This window comes from Homo sapiens, chromosome 9 (genome assembly GCF_000001405.40).
Source record: "Homo sapiens chromosome 9, GRCh38.p14 Primary Assembly".
Lineage (NCBI taxonomy): Eukaryota > Metazoa > Chordata > Mammalia > Primates > Hominidae > Homo > Homo sapiens.
In genome coordinates this window covers 69,835,990-69,861,686 of record NC_000009.12, presented here as the reverse complement: position 1 = coordinate 69,861,686, position 25,697 = coordinate 69,835,990, and the positions used below count along the sequence as shown (strand labels likewise).

The 25,697-nt window shown below is 40.2% G+C and overlaps 1 protein-coding gene across 11 annotated transcripts in view; it reads right to left on the bottom strand.

Moving 5' to 3' along the window:
• CFAP95 (cilia and flagella associated protein 95) overlaps window positions 1–25,697 on the bottom strand; it is an 85,411-nt gene that overhangs the window by 44,541 nt on the left and 15,173 nt on the right. For 6 of the 11 annotated variants that reach the window (XM_011518230.3, XM_011518229.3, NM_001010940.3 and 3 more), the window contains exons 2-4: window positions 17,062–17,170; window positions 5,014–5,132; window positions 3,710–3,778 (exon numbers count right to left, since the gene is read on the bottom strand). In XM_011518230.3, the coding sequence (XP_011516532.1) occupies window positions 3,710–3,778; window positions 5,014–5,132; window positions 17,062–17,170 (297 nt within the window). Of the gene's footprint in view, window positions 1–3,507; window positions 3,779–5,013; window positions 5,133–17,061; window positions 17,171–25,697 lie in introns of those variants that run through there. The other 5 variants (NR_131756.2, XM_011518234.4, NM_001308086.2 and 2 more) reach the window with 2 other exon arrangements.

Below are 25,697 nucleotides of genomic sequence, written 5' to 3'. Positions count from 1 at the left end.
AATTTTGGGAACTGAAGAGAAGACTGACATGTGGTGCCTGACGTAGCAGAAAGCTGAATGAATCCTAAGTCAGCAAAGGCCTGTGGGGAGAGCTATCTGAAAAACAGGTGTTGCTCCAAAGCTCTTCCCCAACTGCCAGGTAACTGCCCCTCCCCTCCCTTAGCAGAAAGCTAGAAATTTATTCATCTGTAGGGTAAGAGAGTCCTTAATCAAAAACACAATTCAATTCAGTGACCATACATAATGCAGTATTCATACTGATGTCCCAGTCCAATTGCTTGCTCACTCTAAGAACACAGGCATCAGCCCACTCTTCACCCTGCAGAAGGGAGATTGAAGAGGCTTATCTGGAAATATGACCAGCCCAAAAGGAGAGGCTAAAATAGAGTCATGCCAAATAATGCTCTTTCAGTCAACAACAGGCTGTACAGTATGTACTATGAAGACTCCATACGATTATAATGGAACTGAAAAATTTCTATTGACATTGTTGCCTTTGTAATATCATAGCACAATGCATTACTTACATATTTGTGGTGATGCTAGTGTCAACAAGACTACTGTGCTGGCAGCTATATAAAAGTGGAGCATATACAATTATGTACAGTATATAATGATACTTGATAACAATAATAAACAACTGTTACTGGTTTATGCACTTACTGTACTACGCTTTTTATCACAGTTTTAGAGCATATTTCTTCTACTTATTTAAAAAAATGTGAACTGTAAAACAGCCTCAGGCAGGTCCTACAGGAGGTATCCAGAAGAAGGCATTGTTATCACAGGAGATGACAACTCCATGCATGTTACTGCCCCTGAAGGCCTATCAGAAGCTCAAGATGTGGAGGTGGAAGACAGTGATATTGATGATCCGGACCCTGTGTAGGCCTAGGCTAAGGTGTGTGTTTGTGTCTTTGTTTTTAAGAAAAAAGTTTTAAAAGTAAAAAAAATTGTTTAATAATAAAAAGCTTACAGAATAGGGATATAAAGAAAGAAAATATTTTATACAGCTATACAATGTGTTTGCGTTTTAAGCTAAGTGTTGCTAAAAGGGTCCAAAAGTTAAAAAAAAAAAAAAAGAAAAGGTATAAAGTAAAAAAGGTGCCACAAGCTAAGGTAAATTTCTTTTTGAAGAAAGGCCAATATTGCTGATGTATTTTTGATGTTTGACCTACCCAAATCTCATACTGAAATGTGATCCCCAATGTTGGAGGTGGGGTCCGATGAGAGGTGTTTGGGTCATGGGGGTGGATACCTCATGAGTGGCTTGGTGCCCTCCTTGCAGTAAGGAGAGTTCACATGAGATCTGGTAGTTAAAAAGACCCTGGCACCTCCTCCCCTCTCTCTTGCTCCCACTGTTGCCATGTGACATTCCTGCCTCCCCTTCACCTTCTGCCATGAGTAAAAGCTTCCTGAGGCCTCACCAGAAGCCAAGCAGATGATGATGCCATGCTTGCACAGCCTGCAGAACTGTGAGCCAAATAAACCTCTTTTCTTTATAAATTACCCAGTCTCAGGTATTCCTTTATAGCAATGCAAAATGGACAAATGAAATTGTTTTATAAATTTAGTGTAGCCTAAGTATACAGCGTTTATAAAGTCTACAGTAGTATTTAGTAATGTCCTAGGCCTTCACATTCATAGACTCTCTGCTCACTCATGGACTCACCCAGAGCAACTTCCAGTCTTGCAGGGTACATGCATGGCATGTGCCCTATACAGGTGTACCATTTTTTATCTTTCATTCTGTATTTTTACTGTACTTTTTTATGTTTAGATATGTTTAGATACATAAATACTTAACACTGTGTTATAATTGCCTACACTGTTCAGTACAGTAACATGCTGTACAGGTTGATAGTCTAGGAGCAATGGATTTTACCATCTAGCCTCAGTGTGTAGTAGGCTAGACCATCTGGTTTGTGTAAGTACACTCTATGATGTTCACACAACCATGAAATCACCTAACAACACATTTCTCGGAACATATCCCCGACATTATGCGATGCATGACTGTACTGGTACTAGGGCTTCTTTGAAATAATGACCCACCTAGATTCCTCCAGGGAATCTCCAAGGCAGTAAGCCTCACTCACAGGCTCGGAGCCCCATCTCTTAATCATGAGCAGAGGATTGATTAGCAGGTGCTTGAGGAAAATGTCTCTAGCGTGGAAGATGGATACCATACAAACAAATAAAGAACAGAAACAAAAGGCATCTTGGAGAAAACAGAGAGTATGCATGGGGAAGAAAAAAAATTTTAAAGCTATCATTAAAACTTTCATTAACATCTTCAGATAGAAAAGAGAAGATACTGAAGTCATGAAACCAAAAAAAAAGATCCTATAAAAACAAAAGGATCCAGAAAACAAAAAGATAATTCAATGGTAGAGTTGAAGAAACAGAGAGGAAAGTAGATAGTAAAGATAAAAAAGAAAAGGTGAGAAAAGACAGGAAAGTTTTAGGATCAGGACAAGAAATCCAACATTCAAACAAAGGATTTCCAAAAGAGAAAACAGAGAAAACACAATAAGTCAAGAATAAAATAAATCAAGAAAATTTCTCTGAACTGATATGAGTTTATAAACTGAAAGGTTCACCACGTCCAGCAGAGAATTTAGTACGTATGCATCAGTTACTGCTCTAATTGTTTGACATATATTAACTTGCTTAATCTTCACAACAACCCCACAATGCACAATGCAATCCTTAGAATTTGTTCATGCTTATAAGTGTATTTCCACATCACTTACCTGTACATAATGAAAGTTTATGTTTAGAAAGATGAGTGAATAAGACCTTTTTCTTTTGTAGTAAGAATTCATGCTTCCCTGCCAAAACAAACTTATCTCTTATATCAGTAAAAATAGTCTCTTGCTGTAAAGTCAGTTCTCTTTGTTCACAGTAATGTTCTATGAAGTTGCTGCAAACTCTGAATTAGCAAATATTGAACCATTGATCTTAGTGGAAATATAGGGTTAGGTTCCTGCAAGCCTCTGGTCACATTTTCACCAATCGATCAATATAAAACTTTGTTTTATGTCTGTTTCTGCTTAAAGACATCTTATTTTTTGATTTATCACCTTTGAATTTATGACCAACAACACTGCAACTCATGCCTGAATCAAGCTTGTCTAACACATGTGTTTTCTCTGAAAGGCACATCACAACCTTCTTGCTCTAAGGAACACGGCAGCACTTCACCACCATGCTTGAGGGATGTCTTAAACAAGATCACCAACAAAAAGCATAAGAGTTAGAAAAACGTGTCACTGAATAGACTGTGAAAAGAACACGTTTATGGAATGAGAGCTGAACCAAGAAGGCAGGGCATCACCCTGTTCGACCTCAGTTGGGATTGTACACATCTGGTGCCTTCCCTTTTTTACCATTCTGCATATGTCCACAAATGACCATGACAGAACCACGAGTATTGACTTGTGGGATACAAATAGGTAAATTTTACAGAGAAGAAAAATTTACAAATACAGGATCTGCAAATAGTGAGGATTTACTGTTTTATTATTACGGTTATTAATGTTGTGCATGTGAAAGGAGAAAACATTTGGTTAAAGGCAAGTCGAAGATGTCATGTAAAGGGCATTTTGTTGACCTTGGCTCACCCTGTCATACCTTTGCCCCTGCAAACAAACCTTCTGAATCAAGAAACATTTTGTACAGTTGTAGCAGTTTAGGGACTACTAACATTTTGCTCCAATCCGGTGGATGTCTAGGAAAGACAGCTCCAAAACCTGTGGCAGGCAATCCGGTGACCCTAAAACAAGATAACATTTTTTTAGAAAACTTGTTAGAGTGTAATGTGTAAACTTTCAAAGCCATGTAAAACTAATTTAGGGGCTGGGCGCAGTGGCTCACGCCTGTAATCCCAGAACTTTGGGAGGCCGAGACGGGAGGATTGCCTGCGCTCAGGAGTTCAAGACCAGCCTGGGCAACATGGTAAAACCCAGTCTCTACTAAAAATACAAAAAAAATTAGCCGGACGTGGCAGCATGTGCCTGTAGCCCTAGCTACTCGGGAGGCTGAGGCAGGAGAATTGCTTGAACCTGAGAGGCAGAGGTTGCAGTGAGCCAAGATCACGCCACTGTCCTCCAGCCTGGGCAGCAGAGCAAGACTCCAGGTCAAAAAACAAAACAAAACAAAAACTAATTTAGGGTTAGATTTTTATGATGATTACTTTTTAAAGAGTTTTCATGTTTGCAACTTTTATGAACTTTGTAAAACAAAATGTCTCAACAAGTCAATGGAATTTTTAGCATTTTTGTCATTATTTTGACTGCATTTTTCAACAATTACAGTATAAGACAAAGGCTATGTGTCATACACTTCGATGGGGAGGCACTGTGCCAGGATGCAGGATGACAACTATGATGAATAAAGAGTTTCTATCCTCAAAGAACTCTCTATTCCTGAGGAAATGCCTTCATATAAATAACTAGAATGCAAGTCCAACTGTCATGTAGGACATAAAATACTCAGAGAACAAAAATCAAAAAGCAATTAATTCTGATTAATGACAGCTTACCTAATTCTTATTGCATGTCAGTCAATACTTCTATGCACACTTCATACTTTATTTCGTCTAAATTTCATAACAACCCTACGAAGTAGATGCTTTTGTAATTCCCATTTTACAGGTGAACAAGCTGGGTTATAAACACCAAATAACTTTTACAGTAAATTGTAGAGCTGGGGTTCAAACCTGGATAGTCAGAACCTTGGGCCAGAAAAAAAAAAAAAAAAAACACATATAAAGAGGAAATGGCATTTTAGCTGGGCCCAGAATAAGTAGAGAGTTGATTGGTAAACAATTGACGAAAAGAAACTCCCAAACAGAGAGAACAGCATGAGCAGAAAGCATGGAAGCTTGAGACAAATGTGCTTGATATGTTCCTTTAGTGTGGAACTGGGGTCACTATACCTTTTTGCTACTTATACAAGTCCTTTCTGCATGTCCACATTCTATAAAGTAAAGAAAAGTATTAAGAATACCTTTCGATAATCCCGGAGCTCACTGTTTCCTCATTCAATAAAGCCTTGCTCTTCATTTCAACCCATTCTGTGTTTAAACACATTTGTGACAACTTTTCATGTGTTTCTGATGTCCAAATCTGGAAACATAGAAGCCACATATAAGAAAAATGAATTTTCACTACAAATGGTCAGTTACTAAAACATGTTTTTATTGAAGTACATTCTGATTTTAATTGTTGACTCTAGTTGACATTAAAAATAAGTAATAGATCATAGCTGTCAATTATTTCATCATAAATATGTAAAAATAGCAATTACTGGATGCTGTTGGGAAATAAAAAGCAAATTGGTTGTTTCTATGAAACAGAAAGAACTGCATTCAATTAAATATACTAACTCTACCTACTTTCTATTTCCTTCTTTATCCTTTTCAGGGTTGGTATATTTTAAATACCCTAAGCAGGAAAATGTTTGTAGCAATCACTTTGTAAATCACAAGGACTTCAGATATCATCATCATCATCATTATTATTCACTCTCGGTCATACAGCATAATTCAATTAATTACTAAGCAATTATTGCGATGTGGAAAAATCTTCAAACTATAAGATGTACTCAAACCAATTGCAGAAACATCAAGGGTAACATCTCAGGGATCAAAGGAACAAAAATGGATGTAAGGGATTCAATATTTTCTCCATACAAAACTCTAGAAGATCATGAAGCTGGAGGTTCAGAGCCAAGAACCAGAACTCATCACCAAGAAAATCCATTACTTTATCTGAAAGACTAGATTCCCCAAGATATTCATGAAGCCTCAGAACACATTAATACCACTAGACTTTCTGTTGTTGTTGTTGTTGTTTTTTAAAGAGAGACCACTCTTTAGAAAACCAGAGCCTTCAACTGCAAGAGTATCATGGTTATAGTCAGATGCTTTGGGTCCATTTTGCTTTAGTAATAAGATTTTTCTATAACCAGGAGTCTAGCCTAGTCAAAACCATTTTGATTAAGTCTCTGGTGCTGGTTTCCTGGTCTACTCCATGGCTCTCTAGATCCTTGGCTTCTCAGAGCACTGCTCTCCAAGACCTCAACCTCCTGAATGACTATCCTCCCAGCCAAATTTCCCAGCTTTGATCCATATACCCTTAGCTCAACTACTCTTCTTCTTAGATGTTCAGGTTTCAAAGTCGATGGTAGGGGACACTACATTGGGTCTTATTTATTTTAACAGCAAAAAAAATCTTTTGAGAAAAAATTAGTAGCCACCATTTTGTTTGAAGGTATAAGATTGACCAAAAAATTAAGCTTAGATTGCTTCTCAGCCTTTTGGCTAAGAGCAAGTGTAAAAATTAAGCTTAGATATGCTCTGATGATTTTTAACAGTAAAACATTTCAGCAAATCAACCAACTCTTTGAAAATCATATGAAACAAAGATATTGCCAAACATAAAATAGAGGAGTAAAAGGAAACAGATAATCATAGCATTAGTGGAGCAGAATGAGTGCTTATTCTGTGCCAGACAATGTACTAAGCACTTTAAATGCATTATTTCAACACCTTCTCAAAGCAACCCTCTGAGTGTTATGTATTAATATTAATCATGGTCTCAGAAGGGAAAAACAATCAAATTGGGAACTGAGGAGAATTTAATGAAGGATCTCTTTATAAACGTGTGGGAACCATTAAGAAAATCAACACTATTGAAGCACACTGAGGATAGCAATAGTGGAGAACCTTGAGGGTAGAACAGTTACTGTAACTCAGAACAACCTACAGCTCTAGTGAGGGTCACCTGATAGTTGTATCAACCTACTCAGAACAACCTACAGCTGTAGTGAGGGCCACCTGATAGTTGTATCTTTCATAACAGAAACCCAGCCACTGCCAAACCATGGTCCTACAGGGAGGAAATCACAGAAATAAATGTCCAAGCTCCCTCTCCTCCCACCTCTGGTCACCTGCCAGTGCCTCCCATGGGCCCACCCAGTGGAAAGCCAGAAGGCAAGGAGCTCATTGCAGCCAACCCTAGAGGTCAGCCTCCTTGGCACAAAGCAGGGTGAGAAGAGTGGAGAGTGGATCTGGAGGTGCAAATGAAGAACACTTGGTATAATTTATTTCTGTTTTAAAAAAGGGAAAACTAAGGCTGGAAGGGATTAAATAATGCCCAGGCAAATCAGCTAGAAAGTAGAAGCTCCACAATTTAAGACTCATGCAGTCTGCCTCATTCATTCATCCATCTGTCCACATCTATTAAGTGCCAGGCATCATACTAGGTTCTACAACTAGATTTGTAAACAAACTCCAGAGGCTATACTAGCTATAGCATAGTAGGTTATAGTAAATCATGGGGATAATGGTAATAACAGCACATGGCCAGAAACTGTTCTAAATATCTTCACATTAAATGCTTGTGACAACTCTACAATTCTCACTTTACACATAAGGAAATGAAGACATGGAAAGTTGGAGACTCGACTTAAGTTACAACCCTGTAAGTGGTAGAGCCAAGAATTAAAGAGAAGCCATCTGACTCCAAAGACAACTCTTAACTTCTGTTTCCTATACCAGCGGCAAATGTTATCTCCCAATATTAGACATTCCTTCTTCATCATCAATAGAATCCCCAAACTTTAGCTGGGTGCCTGGTGTTGCAGACCACATTTTTCAGATTATTTTACACTTAGATATGATCAGTTACTGGTTCTGGACAATTAAGCATAAGTGGAAATAGTTGTTTCCTTGGAAAGAACTTCCAGGGAAAGTCCTTCTTTTGTTTTCCTTCTTGCTGCCTGGAATGGGGACAAAATGACTGTTTTCCAGCAGCCATCTTGGGTCCTACCCAAGGATGGCAGAGCAGAAAACTGGAAGGAATTGGTCTCTGACAATACATAGAACTTTCATACCAGTCCTGCTATCCTCCAGACCCTTTACATGAAATAATACAACCCTATATGAACAGCCTCTGTTGATTTTCAGTGTCTGTTGCATGTAGGCAAACCTAATCCTACACCATCTTAATGTGAAAAAATCACTTTGGTGCAGAAATGTTCATAACCTGACATAAGGATGGTACTTCATAAAGCACTTCCATATGTTTAAAAGTCTTTTGGGCTTTGTATATATGTATATCACAGACTGGAGATTGGCAATTTGGTATGTGAGATAGCTAAATTAACACAGCACAAACTCGCAGGATAATCACTAAAATTTCCATTTAATTTACATAATAAAATCTAGCTTGAGAAAATTATAATATAGAAAATATCTAATGGATAGAGGAAGCTCATTTCATAATATCATTCATATTCCCTGTTTTCCTGAGTACGAATTATTTTTAAATCCCAATTTCTATTCTTCTAGAATGAATTCCCATTTGTGCTGCACTTATGGGAAGTAAATCCAGTAGACACATAACCTGGGTGACTGGTACAGGGAATGAAGAGAACACTTATGACTTCTCAGGTTATATATTTCAGGTTGGCCAGACTGTTCTGCTGAGGATGACTTACCCTTGGCAGAATCTCTTATGGCAAGATTCATTTTAGATAATCCCCAATTGACAATTCTTTCCTGGGTTCTTTACAGGCACCCAGAAAGTATATTCCTCTGACCCACAGTGAAGGAAGGTGTATTGGTCCGTTTTCATGCTGCTGATAAAGACATACCCAAGACTGGGTAATTTACAGAAGAAAGAGGTTTAATGGATTTACAGTTCCACTGGGCTGGGGAGGCCTCATAATCATGGCAGAAGGCAGTGAGGAGCAAGTCACATCTTACATGGATGGCAGCAGGCAAAGAGAGAGAGTGTGCTTGTGCAGGGGAACTCCAGTTTTTAAAGCCATTAGATCTCATGAGACTTATGCACTATTACAAGAACAGCATGGGAAAGACCCGCCACCATTATTCAATTATCTCCCACTGGGTCCTTCCCACGTTATAGGAGCTACAAGATGAGATTTGGGTGGGGACACAGAGCAAAACCATATTAGAAGCTCAGGTACTTCTCACGTCAAGCTTTTCCCTCTGATGCCACAGGCTGCTTCTGGAACCTTCCAGTCTGTAGCATTTTGTCAAGCATGAGTGAGACCCCAGTGCATCAAGTTCCCTGGGTGGTATCATTGAGGCCCCACTCTCAGGGTGGAAATTAAGGAGACACACTTCCCACCCCTACCCCTTAAGAGATTAAAGGGGTGGGATTCACAGCATGCACACTCTCTCCAGACAACTCCTCCAACTGCTAAATTATTTTGACCAGATCTGTTTGATTTCAACCATTTTTGTTTGTTTTTAAATCATCAAGGTGAATGAGACACCAAGCAGCTCAAAACTCAGTTACCGCCCAAATAATTTGCATGTTCTGCATGAGTGGGTTGGCATCTCACTTACTTGGAATAAAGGAGGAGCTGGCATCTATTATCTTAGATCTTCAGTCATAACTAAGGAAGAGTCTTATTTTAGCCTGTTAAGCAGCATTCCCCCTACCAACTGTAGCTTTTCTGCACCGTTGCCAAAAAAAAAAAAATATATACAAAGGCTTGATTATCTTTTAAAATCATCACAAAGACCATACTTATTTCTCAGAAGTTTTGTCCTTGGAAATCCTGGCTGTTTTCACATCTAGGTTAACTCAGCAGTGCCATGTAAAGATTCTAAAGGATCCGAGAGAGGCCTCTGCAAATATAACTGCTATTATTTTGAACAACTGAGACTCATAGGGTGCAATCAGAAAAATAATTTTATTGTTTTCCACAACTACCTCTTCAAGCAAGCTTTTATGAGCTTCTTCCTTCTTCCTCTTCTTTTTTTTTTTTCTCTATTTTTAGAAATAGGGTCTCACTGTTACCCATGCTGAAGTGTAGTGGCACAATCATAGCTCACTGCAGCCTCAAACTCATGGGCTCAAGCAATCCTCCTGCCTCAGCCTCCCACGTAGCTAGGACTACAAACGTGCACCACCACACCTGGCTTACGGGATGCTCCTTTTCCTGTCTCTAGCAGAAATAAATTTATAACAAGTCTCATTTTTTCATGATCACTCTGAGATGACAAAACCACTTCTTGTCACAAAATAGTCTCAATTAAATATTTAATATTAGTAAAATAAACACAAAAGGCTCTTCTAGTTGTCTGGGGGAAAGGAAAAGCAGAGCAGGTGGGGAAATAAAAAATTATCCAACTCGGCCTACCCTTCACACTCACTTCCCTCTGCAGACTTACCAGCCTAGAGCAGGCTGTAGCTGGAGGAAGAGAAAAGCTTTAACTCTAAATGAAATTCATCATTTTGATGAAATATTTTACTTATTGAAATGGGACCAATAGGCTTCTTATTATCTGAGATTGACCATAAAACCTAAGGAAGCTGCACAGCATTTTGTCCAAGCATAAAGGAAGAACCGATTCCAGAAAGCAGGGTAAATAGGCAGTGGAGGCAAAAAATATGGATGTGTGTGTCTCTGCATGTTTGTGCGTGCGGGTGTGTGTGTATATACATGCACATGATTGCCCAATTCAAGTCTCGTTTGTTCAACATAACAGTTACACCTGCTTAAGCAAACTAATATAAATGAAAAATTAAAGTCTAGTTTCTGTAAGAGTTAAATTAGGGCATGATTACTGATGTAGAAAAGGAGCAGCAAATGAAAGTGATGGGATCAAAATGCTGGGTGGCCTGCTTTCATTCCCATCCCAAACGTCTGGAAATGACAGAGAAGATATTTGCTAGAATAAATAGACTCAGAGATGCAGCAGAAAACAAGGGAAGTACACTCAGTGGGCCAAAATTGATACGGAATTCCTAACACAGGAAAGCCAGATGTCATTGTGGTGATATTGGAAAAGCTGATCCAAAGTTGTTCCAGGAGAGAATGCTGAAACCTGTGACATCAACCACAAGCTCCAAGATTATGGAGACAGGAAGCAAGAAGAGACCCTAGCTCAACAGCCTACTATCCCCAAACATCTTCCTTTCCCCTGCAATGGCATTTAAAATATTCCATTTATAAACATTTGATCCATATACCCCTTTCAGGTGCTTAGATATGAATGCAAGAAGCATCTATAAGATTATAAGATTATACTGGTCAAAATACTATCCTACAATGTCAAAGAAAAAAATACTTGAACCAATTAAGTAAATAATTGAATTTCCCATATCTGGTATAATTATATCGTTTGTATCCCTTTTAGGACATTAGTTTTTAAATGTCATATTTTTATTCACTAAAACAGCTCAGATTTAGGCTTATTTGGCTATTCTTAATCTATTCATAAAATGAATGCTAATATACTTTTGTACTATTCATTTATTTGCCATTTTTAAATCCAAAATATCTGTGATGCTGTTAATATTAGCCTAATTTGCTCAACAATGTTGTCCTGTTAGTTCCAAAAATGCCTTGGCATTGAGCCACTAGCTGTATAAGAAAAATCTGTTTAATAAATTGCTCATGTATTTCTTTGTTCATTTATGTCTGACAAGTTCTCAGCTTCTATGACACAGCATCATATGTGTTCTGTACTTAATCCTTCTAGGTGTATGGGATTCAACATGCACCCCTTTCTCAGAAGTGGTCTTTCTTTGGCCTCCCAGTGGCTCTCACTTTAGTATCAGCCTCACATGCTAGGAAGGTAACATAAGTGATTGTGATAGGGCCTTTGGTAGTGTTGTGAGGATCCTTGGGTGAAAGGCTTTACAAGTTGAAGCAATGATGATAGACATACTCTTGATGATTTTAGTTTTCATGGAATTCACCTGGGTAGAGATATGTAGCACCTGAATAAAGTCCAGGTAAAAGACTATAGTTTAGAACGCTATTACCCACTAAGCTTAGAATAAGACAATCAGGGCAAACCCAGTGGCTTGAATTGCTGTTCTCCTGTGAATCTATTTCCCCAATGGCCTCACTTGGCCTCCTGAAACCTGAGGGACCATTGAAATAGGAAATCAATTATCCCACCATTGAAACCTGAATGGTATGTTTCCAGATTCTGCCAAGAGATGGTTCCTTTAGGATTCAGCTCCAGAGCTTCAAAGGAAACCATACCCAAACCTCCTTCCAACCCATTTCAGTTCAGGTACACCTCACAGCATCCTGATGTTCTTCCTGTCATAGCATCCATCATACCCTTTGCCACCGTGGTTATGTGTTCCCATTTCCCCTAGGAACCTATGAGTTCCTTATATACAGGCACCAATTTTTGAATTATGTTTCTCACCCTAGCACTTAGCATTATGCCTGGCAAAGTAATGGGGCCTCAAAAAATGTTTGTTGAATGTAGAACTTCTTCCTTTTGTCCTCTTCCCTTCCTCCCTCCTCCCCTTCCTCCCTCCCTTCCTTCTTTGTTTACTTCCTTCATCCCTTCCTCCCTCCCTTACTTCATTTCTTCCTTCTTCCCTTTCTTCCACAAATACTTATTGAGCATCCACTATGTTCTAGGCACTGTTCTAGGAACTGGGGAGAAAACAGGGAACAAAATAGACCAAACTCCCCACTTTCATAGAGCTCGTATTCTAACAGAAGGTGACAAACTATTAATAACTAAGTAAGTCTAAAATATGTCCAGCAATGTAAGTGTCATGAAGAAAACTAAAGTAGGGAAAGGGGATAGAGAGATATGATAAGAATGGACTGCTCTTTTACATACAAAAGGGCAACTGGCTTATTGAACAAGTGGGACTTATAAGTAGGTACAATCAGAAAACAAATCTATTTTTCCTCCATCACTGCCCATCCACAGTCATTTAGAGGACTAGTTCTTTCTCATGCTCCTTGATGAAATATAAGACAGGTCCCGGGGCGTTTCTGGTGACTCTCAGATAATACAAAACTTCTCTGGCTACTTTTGTCCCAAGAGGATTTTCACTGAGGTAATTAAAATGCCAGTCCCATATAATAGCCAAAACTTCAAACTTCATGGGAAGATTCTCATTCCTCCACCTTGGGGCTGCTTCGGCCTGGCCCACTATACTGGGAACAGGGGGCACAGTTGGCTTCTTCTCAATTATCCCACTTGGACTTCTTCCCCATTCCCCACCTCCCTCTATCTCCTTGGGGACTGATGCCAAGGATGTGTGGAGATGAGGAAGAGAGAGAGGTAAAAGTGGGAATGGCAGAATGTAATCTTGCTTTGGTTTCCCCTGGGTATGTTTATCTTTGACCCTCTCTGGCACTGGTGAATGTTCCAAGGTGACTTTCTTGGGAGGTTCTGGTAGACTTTGGGATCACCTCTGGGAACATTGAATGGCATGTCCCATGATAGAAGATGCCTCTGGCTAGACTTAAATGTCTTGCCTCGGCTCCTGGAAACCCAGCTAGATGCCCTCCCATCTCTCCTTCTTTTCCTTCTACAAATATTTATTGGGCACCTACTATGAGATGCTGTTCGACAGGCTCTGAAATGATTCCATGTCATTTTCTTCTTCCCCATGGTCCACAATGGATCCACAAGAGGCACATCTGGGACCGAGGATTCACACATTGTTGCTCCACCTCTAGAGGAGCTGGCTCCCTCTTTCTGCTCTGCTTCCTCTGACCAGTCACCAGAGTCTTGTGTCTAACTTCGTGAGGCACACAAGGGTCCTTGCAGATAAGACTTAGAGCACACTCTCCAAAATCCTTTCTGTACTATCAAACTCCTCTTGAGGCTTCTTGCATTTCAATTCTCTTATATCCCTCATGTGAGTGGGAGCCTATTAACACCATCTTCTTTGAGGATCTTGCATAAGTGACCTAATTCTTTACTTCGGCACATGAGGCTATTGTTCTGTTCTTAGACTTTTAGAGCCTTAGCCAAAACGTAGACAAAAGTAAGTCCGATTTTAAACTCTGCTACAAATAAATGATGCTCATATTAGCTCCTGCAGCAGCATTTAAGGACAAGGACACCCTCAATCAGCTAAATGAAAGTGCGGTGGATGTACAAAGCAGCCACTCAGCAGCAAACTTGCAAAAAAACCAAAAATGTTAAGAAGGCATTCAGAAGGGGAAACAGATGGGAATAGGGCTAGCCAGCATGTGTGTGGACATAATTCAGGAAATAGGACAGAAGTTATGGCTAAGATGTAAGAAATCAAAGCCCCAACACATATGCAGTGAGATATACAATATCCAAGCCAGAGCAAAAAATAATCAGGTCTATTTTCTACAAGGAAGGTGCAGTGTAGCAGGGTAAAAAGGCCAGCACACTAGAAGTGGAAAAGTTTGGTACTCCAAGAGGCAGTTTGGAAAAGTCTCTAAGATCTTAGCATTTAGAGCCAGAGAAGAACAATAGATTTTAATTTTTAATACACTTTCTAGCTGTTTGACTTTTCACCAGTGATTAAGCTTCACTTGTTCTCAGCTCCCTCATTTATCCAATGTGGATCATGCATGATACCTGCCTGAACAGCTGTCCAGAGGATGAAATGAAGCACTTTTAATGGAACCATCTTGTTGAATTGATCCTATTGCATCAATAGGATGCAATCATAAAGCAATTTCATTTTTAATCAAACTGCCCCTTCCCTCCCACAGCAAGTTATTTCCTTTTGTTTAATAAAAGTCTTAGGCAAGTCTCTTCTTGACCACTACTGTCCCTGCCCCGCACTCCCTCTTTCTGCTGTGCCATATCAGGCATGACCTCTCACATTTAGGTTTTTAGGCATGTGACTGGACCCCGTGTCCTCTAAATTCCAGGACATACATATTAATCTCTCTGAGTGGTTCCCTTGAAACCTCTCTCAACTGGAGAAAGAGAGGCACAGAACCCACAACTACATGAATACTCTTTTAACTCTTCAGTCCCTTGTCTTTAAGGACATAACTACTCATACTGGTTTAATCTAATTTAGTCTCTTAGCAGGTCCTGCCTAGGTGGCCCAGATTCTTGCTTTAAGGCATGTGGTTCCTGCCAACTATCAAGAGTGTCTTTAGGCCTTTACCAAATCTCTGTGACAACAGGAAGAAGGACTTGCCCATCCTCTTGCTATATCCAGCCTCACACCTGGCATGTGAAGGTGTGGGGGCTTGGCGCCAGTATCCCCTCCTTTTCTTTACACTTGGGACCTTGGGTGAGTCATTTAAGATCTGTAAGTCTAGGTTTAGAACTAAATAATAATATATTTCTTGACAGCTTTATAGCTTTGTTGTGAAGAATGAAAAACAAGATGGATGAGCCAGTGCTTTATACACAGAAAGTCTATAGGGAAAAATGTAAATTGCTATTAAGATAGAGAATAGCAGTTCCATCAGAAATAGTGATTCCTCAGTCTATTTTCTTTTCTATTGAATACACATTCCAAATCTGGCAGGTGGAGGACAGGGTTTCAATGGCCATCAACAAAAAGACATACAGACAGTAAATACTACTATTTATTTACACATTCTCATTAAACCTGAGGCTTGACCACTGTAACGCATATAATATTGGGGAGGGAATGTTTGTGGTTCCTATACCTCATATCCCGCTTCATCTCACTTCCCCCACGATATGAGGTATAGGAATACCCAGAAACCAAGAGCATTTCTATATAGGAATCAAAAATGAATGTTTTTAAGGACCAAAAGTTCTTTAAAAACATCTTTAATATAGAAATCAAAAATAAATGTTTTTTAAGGACCAAAGTCTCTAAGTGCATGTCAAGCAATGCCTGAATTGCCCAGCTTACTCTTCTCCTGACCACAGCCCCATGCTGAAGAAAGCAAGGTGAAGCTGTGTTTGTGGGGGAATGGAGCAAGTGGATGTTGACTGAGTTGGGCATCACACTGCAGAGCCCCATCCACATGCTGGCTGATGACCCATGAGGCAGCCTGGTGCAAAGGGAAGAGGGTTGGGTGGAAACTGAGGAAATCATCAGATTCCCCTGAGATCTGGGCTATGGAGCAAGAGGTAAACCTGAGCAGAGAGAAATAGAGATGCCAAAGAGACTCTGTGTGTGCATGTGACACAGAGAGGTTGGGGTGGCGATGGGGATGCCTTGCTTTAGAGCTGTGTTAGTTCCTGCAAGTTTGCTCATTCTATATCCAGGCAGCTGTCACTTTATGATAAATCCCCATTCTCCAGGCGATCCTTATTACTCTCTGTCCACTGCAACTATAAGAGGAAAGGAGGAAATGGCACTGCCATGCTAAGCTAATTTGTCCTCATTACCTTGCAGAATGGAGAATCTTCTAGAACAATTTCCAATGTGGAATTATGCGTCTTTTTACACCTGCCCCATTTCAAATGCTGGTCTAAAACTAGCCCAGCCTTGGGGGGCGGGGGCAGAATGTGACACAAACCCAATCTTTTCATCACCTGTACGACCACCCTCATCAAATCACCAGCTCTTCATGCCCCGAGGCCATCCTCTAAGGCTAAATTGTCTTCAGCTAGCCACAAAGCTCGTGACATTGTAGGACCCAATTTGGGGGTCTCCTAGTTGTTGAGCTCTTGCCTTATGCTGACTGGACAGACACCTAGGTAGCCAAGCAGTAACGCACTCACCTCAATTAAAACAGGAATTACTTATGCCATAAATATTTTTCTTGTAACTGGATTGTACAAACATTATGACACTGTTAATAGCATGTTTTAATTACTCACAACTCCACCAGCTTAAGATAAGCACAAAACACTTGAAACCAAAGACCAGGGTATAAACTCTCCCTCTTCCACGCCCTAGCTGTGTGACTTTGAGTAAGTTGCTTAGTCTTTAAGAGCCTCTTTCCCCTCCTCTGTAATTAGTGATGGTTAATACCTACTTTGCAGGGTTATTGTGGAGGTGAAAGGAGACATCTAGCAGGATATTGCTGCTGTAGTGACAACAGCATCATAGCAACAGGAACAATTTCCTAGGCACTTTTATGTGCCAGGCACCATGCCACATACTCAACTTGCTTCATCTCATGTAATTCGCCCAATCACTTTGTGAGGTAGGCACATTTTACAGGTAATGTTGCTTCAGCACACAGTGACTAAGTCATCTAAGTAACTAACACAGTTAACGAGGGATGGTGCTGCACAAAACACTCCTCCCTTTACCTTTTTATGTTTCACTATGACAAAGATTTCAGACTTCAAACGAAGTAATAGCAACTACTTACTGGGGATTCATCGGTTCCCAGTCGCCGATATGTTGAATTACACAGTTTTTTAACTTTCTCAGGACCCTCTATATCATAACCTTTGGGAAAAGCTTCTCTGTCACGGTGCCTTAAGAAAAAATTAGGAGTCCGTTAAGAGATGTAGTTTATTTATTCTGTATTGCATTCAGATTTTTAAAAATTATCCAATGAAAATTTTCTATATTTGTAGTATTAAGTATAAATTTATTAGATTTGTGACATATAAAGTATTTTCCATCTCTTTTCAAGTAATGCTGAGGCTAATTCCTAAAAGCAACCTAGCATAAGTGATAAAACTAATAATATCACCCAAACAATACTTATCAAACACAGTAATTACTCAGTGATTCCAATGAACTGAATCCTATTTAATAATGTAGATTAGTTTACCAACAGTAAGTTCTAAAATAAGACATGGTAATATCTTGGAAAGGCAACTTTCCACTTTAGAAATTCTTTCTACCATGAATTTTAATTACAATTTTTTTCAAAACAAGACAGCAAAGTATTTGCCCATATTGATTTATAACCTGTGCTTCTGCTTCTAAAGAGGCAATAAAGGAAGCTGATAAACATGAGGTAGAAGAAAACAGTTCTTAAAAATGTAGATGGAAGAAGGAAAAAATATACCAAACATCTTGATTAAAAGAGTGATTAAGAATAATAAGAGGCAGGGAACAGTAACACACGCCTGTAATCTCAGCACTTTGGGAGGCAGGCAGATCCCTTGAGCCTAGAAGCTTCAAGACCAGCCTGGGAAACATGGCAAGACCCCATCTCTACAAAAAATACAAAAATCAGTTGGGCTTGGTGGCATGTGCCTGTAGTCCCAGCTACACGGGAGGCTGGGCTAGGAGGATCACCTCAGGGAGGTCAAGGCTGCAGTCAGCCATGATTGTGCCACTGAACTCCAGCCTGGGCAACAGAATAAGACCCTGTCTCAAAAAAGAAGAAGAAAGAAGGAGGAGGAGGAGGAAGAAGAAGAAGAAGAAGAAGAAGAAGAAGAAGAAGAAGAAGAAGAAGAAGAAGAAGAAGAAGAAGAAGAAGGAGGAGGAGGAGGAGGAGGAGGAGGAGGAGGAGGAGGAGGAGGAGGAGGAGGGGGGGAGGAGGAGGAAGAGGAGGAGGAGGAGAAGTAGGAGGGGAGGGGAGGGGGAGGGGAGGGGGAAGAAGGAAGAAGAGGATTTGGGGGTAGAGAAGGAAAAAGTAGGAGAAGTGGCTGGCAACTGAAGTAGCTATTTTTAATAGAACTTTCTTGAGTGAAATATAGGATGCTAAGACTAAGCAACCCTCAGAAGTTACTTTGCTTTAAGGGATACAGGGCTAGAATTGTTTAGGGGACACTCAAGTACCCGAGAATTCAATCATCCAGCCATTTGTTTATTCCACAAATGTTTTAAAATTCCTACTACATGCCAGGGACTTTGGTAGGTGTGGGGGATGCAGTGGGAAGTGAGTCTAATGGAGTCCCTGCCTTCAGTTGCTTGCAGTCTAGATAGAGAGACACAAAAATAAGAAAAATCTACAACATGGTAAGTGTGGGTAAAAATCTAGGTAAGAAGAATTGCTTCCCTTAACCTAGGTTGGGCACCGAATCCAAAGGGCATCCTCTTTCCTTCCCCACCCCCACTGGACTAGGGCTCAGCCCCTGCACTACATTCCCATTAACACTCCTGCCTCCCCACCTCTGAGCATGACAGCAGAGCTCTGCAGTAGAACCCAGCAGCAAGGGAGCCCAAGGTGGGGCGGCAAGCAAAACACACCTGAGCCCTCTTCTCTCCTCACATCTGAGCATCAAAGTGCAGAACACTAAATGCTTTTTGGTAACCTACCAGCATTTTATGAGATCCTAACAGGAAGCTTTCACTTAAGTCCTCAGGGGGGATATTGGACAACACAAGCTCAACCAGGTCCCAGCTGTGTGGCCTTGGGGAAGTCACTTAACCTTTCTGTGCTTCCATTTTCACATGTATAATATGAGGACAGAAATAATAACAATACCTTTTAAGATCTTAATATGAATTAAAATTTTTTTAAAAAGCAGAAAATCCTTCATATGCTGTAAAGCATCATAAACATCTATGTATAGTGAATACTAATCAGGCTCCAAAATCTGGTATACATTGGAACTTAGTTTTGCCATAATTGAACTTAATTTTTCTTCCAAGCTCTCATTTTACCAAGAGGAAAAACCGGAATATTGGTCAATTCTGGATTTCTTCCAGTTCTGAGGGGTTTGTGTGGTGCCACAATGCCAAGAATCCATCTTTGTTGCCATCCTTTCTCCTTGCTTACATCTGCAGAAACACTCTCCTTCCCCTGTGGTCTTCCCTTACAGATCCATGCAGGTCTCCATCCTCCTGGGCTTGCCACACAAACTCATAGGTAGACTGGTGCTCTGCCACAAGGGTGCCACTCTCTAGCCCACCAGACACCTTCTAGTGTCTCTCTCCACCTGGGTTCCTGGAAACCCAGCACCATCCCTGGGTTATGTGCCTGATCCACCGAACAGATAGTGTTTCATCTCTCCAGCACTCTGGGCTTGGGGACACATGGGAGACCCAATCTTCAGCAGTTCTGAAAACATTACCCTGGGAATAGGGGGTGATGGGGAGAGCAATGACAAGTCCTGATATGGTTTGGCTATGTCCCCACACAAATCTCACCTTGAATTGTAGCACCCATAATTCCCATGTGTCATGGGAGACACCCTGTGGGAGGTAATTGAATCATGGGGGCGGGTCTTTCCCATGCTGTTCTCATGATAGTGAACAAGTCTCATGAGATCTGATGGTTTTATAAAGGAGAGTTCCCCTACACAAGCTCTCTCTTGCCTGCTGCCATGTAAGACATGACTTTACTCATCATTTGCCTTCCAGCATGATTGTGAGGCCTCCCCAGCCATGTGGAACTGTGAGTCAATTAAACCTCTTTCCTTTATAAATTACCCAGTCTTGTGTATGTCTTTATTAGCAGCATGAGAACGACTAATACAGGTCCCATCTGGCTCCAGGATTTCCAAAATCTTAACTCAAATTCAGGATCCCAGACAAATTCAAACATTCTCAGCTTTTTCTCTGGCCTTCTCCTATTTGTGTCCATGAATTCTTCATTTGCTGTGGAACAGGGTGGCTTGGCTCTTCATGCTCCCAAATCTATCAGGCTTATGCTAAGACCCAAGTTTTTGAAATCCAAATCCAATAATTTGGCTCTTTTGTTACCTGCTGGGTCATTCTTCCCTGAGGCAATAAAACCGGAGTACATCCCTACAGCAGCACACAAATGAAGGGGAAACATACCAGTGATATTTCAGCATATTTGCCCCAAGGCCCACCTCTTTATTAGACACTGAAGAAGGCCCAGGGCCCATACTTCTAGAGGCCTACAAAATAACTACTTTTAAATCAGAAATATATATATATATATATATATATATATATATAATCCAGCTTGGATTATACCTGTCTTTATACCATCAGTCTAACTATCATTTTAAACTTTTTTTTTAATGGAAGAAGGGGCCCAAGAAAGCAAAGATATTTATGGTCTGTGAAAGTCAGTATGTGGCCCTAATGATCCTACCATATACTTTAAGTTTCATGATAACTAGATTCTTACAAAAGATGCAGATATGTTCTTTTTTCCTATAGCAACCTTAGATAGCAGCCAAAAACCCAGCATTAAAACCATGAATCCATAATGAAGGTGTTTCTTTGGGGGACTGAGCTAATGTAACTGGCATTTCCTCGTGCCTGCCGGCTGCCCATGGATGCTGTGCCCACAGCCTGTGGGGCTCTGAGAGATTCACAGCCCCAAATCTGCCCCTACTCCCAAGAGGCTGCCAGCCTAGCAGAGAGAAATATACATGTTTAAAAATTATAAAATGTATAAAATATACTGTATGAAATATAGTAAAATATATAGACCCAAATAAAATATAAGATATGTCTTTACTATATGCTCTCTGTATAATACATATTTACCATATATAAAATGATTGAGGCTTTCTAAAGGAAACAGGAGACTGAATTAATTCTCTGACTTTATTATGTTAGGGGAACAGTGGCCTGTGCCTCAGGTTTCCTGAGATGAACCGAGAATCATAAACTGAGGAACTAAATGAATCAACACCTTGAGAGTCTCAAATGAAAGGTGACATATAAATGCAAAATATTATTAAGTGTAATGATAATATCTACAACAGGCTTTAGCTGGGTATTTTTAAACACTTTGTCAAAACTAACTAAGCCTTATAGCCTTTCTGTGATTAAAATGTAATATATACATATATAAAAATAATCAAGGTGCAATAATGTATATTTCATATAGCCTCATTCTCCTTGCTACCGGCATTTGTTTAGTCATCGAACGACTTGCCATGATTTTTTATTTGTTGCAATGAAAAATTCTTCATGAGAAAAATAAATACATGTACTAAAATAGAATTTACAATGCCTCTAGAGCAGTAACTTTCAAATTCTTCAACTACAGTCCCCAGTAAGAAAAATGATCAATCTTTTTTTTTTTTTTTACATGAAGTTTTGCTTTTGTTGCCCAGGCTAGAGTGCAATGGTATGACGTCAGCTCACTACAACCTCCGCCTCCTGGGTTCAAGCGATTCTCCTCCCTCAACCCTCTGAATAGCTGGGATTACAGGCACACGCCACCGTGCCCAGCTAATTTTCTGTATTTTTAGTAGAGATGGGGTTTCACCATGTTGGCCAGGCTGGTCTCGAACTCCTGACCTTCGGTGATCCACCCACCTAGACCTCCCAAAGTGCTGGGATTACAGGCGGGAGCCACTGCGCCTGGCCAAAAAATGATACTTCTTAATCCAGAATATGTACATGTATTTCCATGCATAAAATTGAAACCAAAATTTGTCCAGACATGGTGGCTCACACTGTAATCCCAGCACTTTGGGAGGCTGAGGCAGGCGGATCACTTGAGGTCAGGAATTCAGACCAGCCTGGCCAACATGGTGAAACCCCGTCTCTACTAAAAATACAGAAAATTAGCTGGGCACGGTGGCACGTGCCTGTAATCCCAGCTACTCAGAGGCCTGAGGCATGAGAATCGCTTGAACCCGGGAAGCAGAGGTTGCAGTTAGCTGAGATCACACCACTACACTGGTAGCCTGGGTGACGAAGTGAGACTCTGGAAGAAATTGAATCTCTGAATAGACCAATAACAGGATCTGAAATTGTGGCAATAATCAATAGCTTACCAACCAAAAAGAGTCCAGGACCAGATGGATTCACAGCCGAATTCTACCAGAGGTACAAGGAGGAACTGGTACCATTCCTTCTGAAACTATTCCAATCAAGAGAAAAAGAGGGAATCCTCCCTAACTCATTTTATGAGGCCAGCATCATTCTGATACCAAAGCCAGGCAGAGACACAACAAAAAAAGAGAATTTTAGACCAATATCCTTGATGAACATTGATGCAAAAATCCTCAATAAAATACTGGCAAAACGAATCCAGCAGCACATCAAAAAGCTTATCCACCATGATCAAGTGGGCTTCATCCCTGGGATGCAAGGCTGGTTCAATATACGCAAATCAATAAATGTAATCCAGCATATAAACAGAGCCAAAGACAAAAACCACATGATTATCTCAATAGATGCAGAAAAAGCCTTTGACAAAATTCAACAACCCTTTCATGCTACAAACTCTCAATAAATTAGGTATTGATGGGACGTATTTCAAAATAATAAGAGCTATCTATGACAAACCCACAGCCAATATCATACTGAATGGGCAAAAACTGGAAGCATTCCCTTTGAAAACTGGCACAAGACAGGGATGCCCTCTCTCACCACTCCTATTCAACATAGTGTTGGAAGTTCTGGCCAGGGCAATTAGGCAGGAGAAGGAAATAAAGGGTATTCAATTAGGAAAAGAGGAAGTCAAATTGTCCCAGTTTGCAGACGACATGATTATATATCTAGAAAACCCCATTGTCTCAGCCCAAAATCTCCTTAAGCTGATAAGCAACTTCAGCGAAGTCTCAGGATACAAAATCAATGTATAAAAATCACAAGCATTCTTATACACCAACAACAGACAAACAGAGAGCCAAATCATGAGTGAACTCCCATTCACAATTGCTTCAAAGAGAATACAATACCTAGGAATCCAACTTACAAGGGATGTGAAGGACCTCTTCAAGGAGAACTACAAACCACTGCTCAAGGAAATAAAAGAGGATACAAACAAATGGAAGAACATTCCATGCTCATGGGTAGGAAGAATCAATATCGTGAAAATGGCCATACTGCCCAAGGTAATTTATAGATTCAATGCCATCCCCATCAAGCTACCAATGTCTTTCTTCACAGAATTGGAAAAAACTAATTTAAAGTTCATATGGAACCAAAAAAGAGCCCGCATTGCCAAGTCAATCCTAAGCCAAAAGAACAAAGCTGGAGGCATCACGCTACCTGACTTCAAACTATACTACAAGGCTACAGTCACCAAAACAGCATGGTACTGGTACCAAAACAGAGATATAGATCAATGGAATAGAACAGAGCCCTCAGAAATAATGCTGCATATCTACAACTATCTGATCTTTAACAAACCTGAGAAAAACAAGCAATGGGGAAAGGATTCCCTGTTTAATAAATGGTGCTGGGAAAACTGGCTAGTCATATGTAGAAAGCTGAAACTGGATCCCTTCCTTACACCTTATACAAAAATCAATTCAAGATGGATTAAAGACTTAAACGTTAGACCTAAAACCATGAAAACCCTAGAAGAAAACCTAGGCATTACCATTCAGGACATAGGCATGGGCAAGGACTTCATGTCTAAAACACCAAAAGCAATGGCAGCAAAAGCCAAAATTGACAAATGGGATCTAATTAAACTAAAGAGCTTCTGCACAGCAAAAGAAACTACCATCAGAGTGAACAGGCAACCTACAAAATGGGAAACAATTTTCACAACCTACTCATCTGACAAAGGGCTAATATCCAGAATCTACAATGAACTCCAACAAATTTACAAGAAAAAAACAAACAACCCCATCAAAAAGTGGGCGAAGGACATGAACAGACACTTCTCAAAAGAAGACATTTATGCAGCCAAAAGACACGTGAAAAAATGCTCATCATCACTGGCCATCAGAGAAATGCAAATCAAAACCACAATGAGATACCATCTCACACCAGTTAGAATGGCAATCATTAAAAAGTCAGGAAACAACAGGTGCTGGAGAGGATGTGGAGAAACAGGAACACTTTTACACTGTTGGTGGGACTGTAAACTAGTTCAACCATTGTGGAAGTCAGTGTGGCGATTCCTCAGGGATCTAGACCTGGAAATACCATTTGACCCAGCCATCCCATTACTGGGTATATACCCAAAGGACTATAAATCATGCTGCTGTAAAGACACATGCACACGTATATTTATTGCGGCATTATTCACAATAGCAAAGACTTGGAACCAACCCGAATGTCCAACAATGATAGACTGGATTAAGAAAATGTGGCACATATACACCATGGAATACTATGCAGCCATAAAAAATGATGAGTTCATGTCCTTTGTAGGGACATGGATGAAATTGGAAATCATCATTCTCAGTAAACTATCGCAAGAACAGAAAACCAAACACCGCATATTCTCACTCATAGGTGGGAATTGAACAATGAGAACACATGGACACAGGAAGGGGAACATCACACTCTGGGGACTGTTGTGGGGTGGGGGGAGGCGGGAGGGATAGCATTGGGAGATATACCTAATGCTAGATGACGAGTTAGTGAGTGCAGCGCACCAGCATGGCACATGTATACATATGTAACTAACCTGCACAATGTGCACATGTACCCTAAAACTTAAAGTATAATAATAAAAAATAAATAAATAAATAAATAAATAAAATGTAAAAAAAAAAAAAAAAGAAATTGAAGCCAAAATGTGACAAAACAGTCTTTACCCTCATAGGAATTTGGATACTTTTTATTCTCTATTATTTTATTTTTTTAAATGCCATTATTAATCCACTGAATTGAGTTCACAATACATTGATGGGTCGTGAAAAATATTGCTCTAGACCAGTGGTTTTCAATCTGGTTGGAGAAGGGGATCAATTTGTGGCATCCACTCCCACCCCAGAGACAATGCAGACATTTGGCCATGCCTGGAGACATTGTTGCGTATACTTCTAAGGAGGAGAGTGCTACCAGTGTCTAGCGGGTAGAGGACAGCGATGCTGCTAAACATCCTGCAATGCACAGGACAGCCCCCAACCACAGAGAAGTATCTTGCCCAAAATGTCCATAGTACCAAGGTTGAGAAAGCCCTAGAGAACAGTTGCACCCCAGACTCTCAGTGGTTCCCAAACCTAAGTGCTTCATGGAGCAGCCAAACTTTCCCCCAAAAAGGATGGGGCCAACATAAAGCTGCCAACTTTTTGTTTTGACGAGAACATTCAAAATAAAATAATCATCTACCACCTTTCATAAGAAGGCCTCTAACACCAACAATCAGTAAAAACAATCTCATAGTCCTTCAAACTGAATAGATTTAGCTATCTGAAAAACTTGCTACATTGAGTTGCAGGACTGAACAAACTAGAATCCAGAGCTGCAGGTCAGGAA